The sequence below is a fragment of the Homo sapiens genome, chromosome 20 (assembly GCF_000001405.40).
Source record: "Homo sapiens chromosome 20, GRCh38.p14 Primary Assembly".
Taxonomy (NCBI): domain Eukaryota; kingdom Metazoa; phylum Chordata; class Mammalia; order Primates; family Hominidae; genus Homo; species Homo sapiens.
In genome coordinates, this window is record NC_000020.11 from 52,045,523 (window position 1) to 52,050,333 (window position 4,811).

General features: G+C 43.6%; 4 annotated features.

Annotated features, from left to right (window-relative positions):
• Positions 2,332-2,851: an enhancer, noted in NCBI's record as "OCT4-NANOG-H3K27ac hESC enhancer chr20:50664393-50664912 (GRCh37/hg19 assembly coordinates)". NCBI's record gives its function as "activates a minimal SCP1, AML or CMV promoter by ChIP-STARR-seq in naive H9 embryonic stem cells {active_cell/tissue: H9 hESC(naive)}" and the evidence as "EXISTENCE:reporter gene assay evidence [ECO:0000049][PMID:30033119]".
• Positions 2,852-3,369: an enhancer, noted in NCBI's record as "OCT4-NANOG-H3K27ac hESC enhancer chr20:50664913-50665430 (GRCh37/hg19 assembly coordinates)". NCBI's record gives its function as "activates a minimal SCP1, AML or CMV promoter by ChIP-STARR-seq in naive and primed H9 embryonic stem cells {active_cell/tissue: H9 hESC(naive and primed)}" and the evidence as "EXISTENCE:reporter gene assay evidence [ECO:0000049][PMID:30033119]".
• Positions 3,370-3,888: an enhancer, noted in NCBI's record as "OCT4-NANOG-H3K27ac hESC enhancer chr20:50665431-50665949 (GRCh37/hg19 assembly coordinates)". NCBI's record gives its function as "activates a minimal SCP1, AML or CMV promoter by ChIP-STARR-seq in primed H9 embryonic stem cells {active_cell/tissue: H9 hESC(primed)}" and the evidence as "EXISTENCE:reporter gene assay evidence [ECO:0000049][PMID:30033119]".
• Positions 3,889-4,406: an enhancer, noted in NCBI's record as "OCT4-NANOG-H3K27ac hESC enhancer chr20:50665950-50666467 (GRCh37/hg19 assembly coordinates)". NCBI's record gives its function as "activates a minimal SCP1, AML or CMV promoter by ChIP-STARR-seq in naive and primed H9 embryonic stem cells {active_cell/tissue: H9 hESC(naive and primed)}" and the evidence as "EXISTENCE:reporter gene assay evidence [ECO:0000049][PMID:30033119]".

Genomic DNA, 4,811 nt, shown 5'->3' on the forward strand with positions numbered 1-4,811 from the left:
CTGGAGTACAGTGGTGCAATCTTGGCTCACTGCAACCTCTACCTCCCAGGCTTGAGCAATCCTCCCACCTCAGCCTCCTGAGTAGCTGAGACTTACAGGCACGTGTCACCATGCCCAGCTAATTTTTTGTATTTTTAGTAGAGACAGGGTCTCACCATATTGCCCAGGCTGGTCTCAAACTCCCGGACTCAAGCAATCCTCCCACCTCGGCCTCCCAAAGTGCTAGGATTACAGGTGTGAGCCACCACACCCGGCCAGAGATGAAACTTGAGGACGTTATGTTAAGTGAAATAAGCTAATCACAGAAAGACAAATACTGCATGATTCTACTTATATGAGATATCCAAAATAGTCAAATTTGTAGAATCAAAGTGTGGAATAGTGGTTGCCGGGGGCTGAGAGAGGGGGAAATCGTGAGTTATTAATCAATGGGTATAAAGTTTCCAATTGAGCAAGATGAATAATTTCTAGAGATCTGTTGTACATTGTACCCAGAGTCAACAATACTGTATTGTACACTTAAAAATGTGCTAAGAAGAGCCTGCCATATTGGCTCAAGCCTGTAATTCCAGCACTTTGGGAGGCCGAGGTGGGCAGATCACCTGAGGTTGGGAGTTCAAGCCTGGCCAACATGGTGAAACCCTGTCTCTCCTAAAAAAATACAAAAATTAGCTGGGCGTGGTGGTGCATGCCTTTAACCCCAGCTACTCGAGAGGCTGAGGTAGGAGAATCACTTGAATGTGGGAGGCAGAGGTGGCAGTAGGCTGCGATCATGCCACTGCGCTCAGCCTGGGCCACAAAGCAAGGCTCCATCTCAAAAAAACAAAAAACAAAGAACAAAAAAAAAAAAAAAAAGAAAACTGGACTGCCCTTTGTTAGTTGCTATATTTGATGTAGCAAGTACTCCTAGAGAAAAGCACGAAGCCTCCACATGGCTTTACTCCTCACTGGAGGGTGACTAGGCTAGAAAATGAGATGAGTATTCAAAATATTGATCCCAAAGAGTTCCTATCCTTTGACGAATAAGTAAGAAAATGCATGTGAAAATGGAAAAAAAAAATTTAAAAAAATCGCAAACATCTTTAAAGTAATTTCCAAATCTTAATTATATATGTACATTTTTTAAAAGATTGTCTCATTTTATTTTTTGTATTGAGGTCAAATTCACTTAACAAAATCAACCATCTTAAAGTATACAATTAAGAGACACTTAGTCATTCATGATGTTGCACAGCCCCCAAGCTGGATTATCTTCACAAACATGTACATTGCACAGGGCTCTGGGCACGATGGGCTTTGCTATTTTATCGTATAGTCATTTAGTGTCCCTCAAGGACACTTGGCTCCTGAAGATTTTCCCAACCCTAGGCCTCTGGCTCATACTGGGTTTCCTGCCTCTTCTACATCTTGTCGTTGAATTTCAAAGCTTTATAACACACTAAACAAATTGCTATGGGTCTTAATTCACAGTCTCTTTGATATGTGGCTGGTTTATACAGCAAGTAAATGTCTGGGTCTCTGATTGGTTACAAAGCCAAAAATAATCCAGATAATGAGAAAATTTTAATTATAACCATACTTGGTTTTAAAGGCCCCCAGATTCTGTTTGTTTGCTTATTTATTTGAGACAGGGTTTCACTTTGTCGCCCAGGCTAGAATGCAGTGGTGCAATCATGGCTCACTGCAGCGTCGACCTCTCAGGCTCAAGTGATCCTCCCACCTCAGCCTCCCAATAGCTGGGATTCCAGGTGCACGCCACCATGCCCAGCTAATTTTTGGTGGAGACGAGGTTTTGCCATGTTGCCCAGGCTGGTCTTGAATTCCTGACCTCAAGTGATGCGCCCGCCTCAACCTCCCAAAGTGCTGGGTTTACAGGAATGAGCCACCTCGCCCTGAATATTTACATACAAACTCAAAATAATCTCCTCTGCCCTTTGTCAGGTTGTTTGATGGGGGATAGATTCAATGCTTACTGTTGAAAATTTCCAGAATAAATTTGGGCTCTATAACATTTAATACTTATAAGTGCACTGAATTATAGAAGACAGTTCAAAGCTTTTCCTATACTGATAATTTGAACTATCATTTCTTTTCAAATGCAAATAAGTTCTTTGGGGGTATTATTAGAAAAAAATTAAAACTCCATTATTTGCATCATAGTGTAGGAGGATTACTTTTTAAAATAATGACTGTTTTCACCCAAACCCCCGCCCTGCTTTAGCTTCCAGACAGGTAGTTAGAGATTCACAAAAAAAGAGAAATCCTGGCTATTCTTTGAAGCTACAAACAAGCCCTGCATTTCTGTATGTTCTTAGAAAAAGCTCTGGCCAGGCAGTTTTTTTGTGTGTGTGATCACACCAGTAGCATCACTGAGTTCAAAGTGGGGGGAAAACCCATTTTAACAATGCAAGAATTTCCCAAAGTCCAAACGCCCGGGCCACACCGCTCCCACAAATGGAAATAGTATCAGATCTGCATCATAATTGATCCTCCAGATTTCCACCCACAAAAGAAGGATGTGGTCAGTAAGAACAAATAACACAGGGGCCGCGGAGAGAAGCTTTTTTGCAAACTTTCCCCTCACTCCACCCACAAAAGTCAGGCAACCGACGTACATGTCAGCATAATCGCTCAAGATATGATCGCGTTTGAGGCTTATGAAATGTTATCAAACGCAGTGGACAAGCACATCGGCGATATTTCTTTTTTCCGCTGAGATGTGAACTGCTGATAAATATCCATGGTTGAGTTTTTTCCATACTTTGATTCTTCAAAAGCTAAGCCATTCAAGGTGTCAAGGCTTTTTGCCCCTGCCTTCCACAGACAACAAGGGGGAGAAAAAAGAAAAAAAGAAAAAAGAGGATGAAAATGAGGGGGAATAAGAGAAAAAAAAATGGACACAGATAAAAGAAATTAAGCGAGCCATAATGTCTGTGCTTTATTTTAACTGGGTTGTCCTGTCCCGCTGTGCAGCCCATAATCCAAGCTGGGAGAGAGGCCCCCGCTGGGTAGCTAATTAAAACAATTATAAATACAAAGAAGGTATCAATGGCATTCCAAGACTCAAACAAAGAGATAAAGCACTGAAGATTTAAATTGTCAATGGCCAGTCTCTTTAGGCAATTCTGAAGAGGAGTCAGTGTCCCCAAGTCCCCCGAACTCCTTTGTAAACTGACTTATGTTTGGTTACAGGGGACCCTCCTCCCTCCTTTTTGGGGGGCTTATCGACATGAAAATTCATCAGTGATGGAATTAAGGGAAGTTAATTTATAGGCTCACATACAGTTATTTGTCCTGGCGCGTCAGAATAGTGGACCTGAGTTTAAAATTAAAATCTAATCTGGAAAAAAGACCCCAGCCCTCCTTATTGAATCAGTATTTTTATTCGTATTTTTTGGCAAGAAATTAGATGCAGGTATCAGTATTTTTAAAGACAAGAAAACAAACAAAAAGATCTTTTAGCCCCAATTGAAAGTGACACAAACCGTTTTTTTTTTTTTTAAGTACTGTGGGCAACTTTAGGAATGTTAAAAATGTAGCAAGTGTGCTAGACTACTTTCTCAGTGTATTTTTATAAAATGATTTGCAGAATCAAACTTACCCAACAAAAATAGAAAGCTTTCCTAATTTCTTAGACCTAGGATTTCCCCTGCCTGCTTTCTGGCTTTTGTAGAGCACTTAAAGGAACACTCAAATCATACATGCTAAGAGATAGCAGCCCAGTGCAGTTTAAAGGGACTCTCAGCCTACAGTCTGAACGAATAGAATGGATCGCAGAAGTTTCCAGGTGGGTCCCTTGGAGAGGGTGGTCAGTTTGCTCTCAAGAGCTGGGTGTGATCAGCGACAGCCTGAGCTCCAGGGCCTGGCCAGTGTGCTACAGGAGAGAGAGCCAAAGGCCTCAGCTCTTAGAAGGCTCACTCGGCCTCAGCTCTTAGAAGGCTCACTCTGAAAAGGAGGTGGTGACAGCAACTCTGGTCCTTCTTTTCACCATGAAAGAAAGCGCAGTAACTGGTGTAACTGGTAAAAGCCAAAAGGGAGGGAGGCAATTAAGGTCGAGGAGACTGATAAGAACTCAGTAGGGGTCAGAGCCCTTCTCCTACTCCTTCACCCACCCTCCTCTGCTCCTTTCTCAGCTCCTCCCACTACCACTCCTTTTTCTTCTCCCCTCTTCCCCTCCTCCTTTTCCCTCCTTTTCTTCTTCTTCTAATTCCTCTTCCCTCTTTTTTTTTTTTTCTTTTTTTTGAGACGAAGTCTTATTCTCTTGCCCAGGCTGGAGTGCAGTGGTGTGATCTTGGCTCCTTCCAACCTCAGCCTCCCGGGTTCAAGCGATTCTCCTGACTCAGCCTCCCAAGTAGCTGGGATTACAGGCGAGTGCCACCATGCTGGGGTAATTTTTGTATTTTTAGTAGAGACAGGGTTTCACCATGTTGGCCAGGCCAGTCTCGAACTCCTGACCTCAAGTGATCCACCCACCTCAGCCTCCCATAGTACTGGGATTACAGGCGTGAGCCACCATGCCCGGCCTCCTCTTTTAATCTTCCTCCTCCTGGCTGGGCATGGTGGCTCACGCCTATAATCCCAGCACTTTGGGAGGCTGAGGCAGGCGGATCACGAGGTCAGGAGTTCGAGACCAGCCTGGCCAACATGGTGAAACCCCGTCTCTAGGAAAAATACAAAAAATTAGCTGGGCATGGTGGCGCATGCCTCTAATCCCAGCTACCTGGGAAGCTGAGGCAGGAGAATCGCTTGAACCCAGGAGGCAGAGGTTGCAGTGAGTGGAGATCATGCCACTGCACTCCAGCCTGGACGAC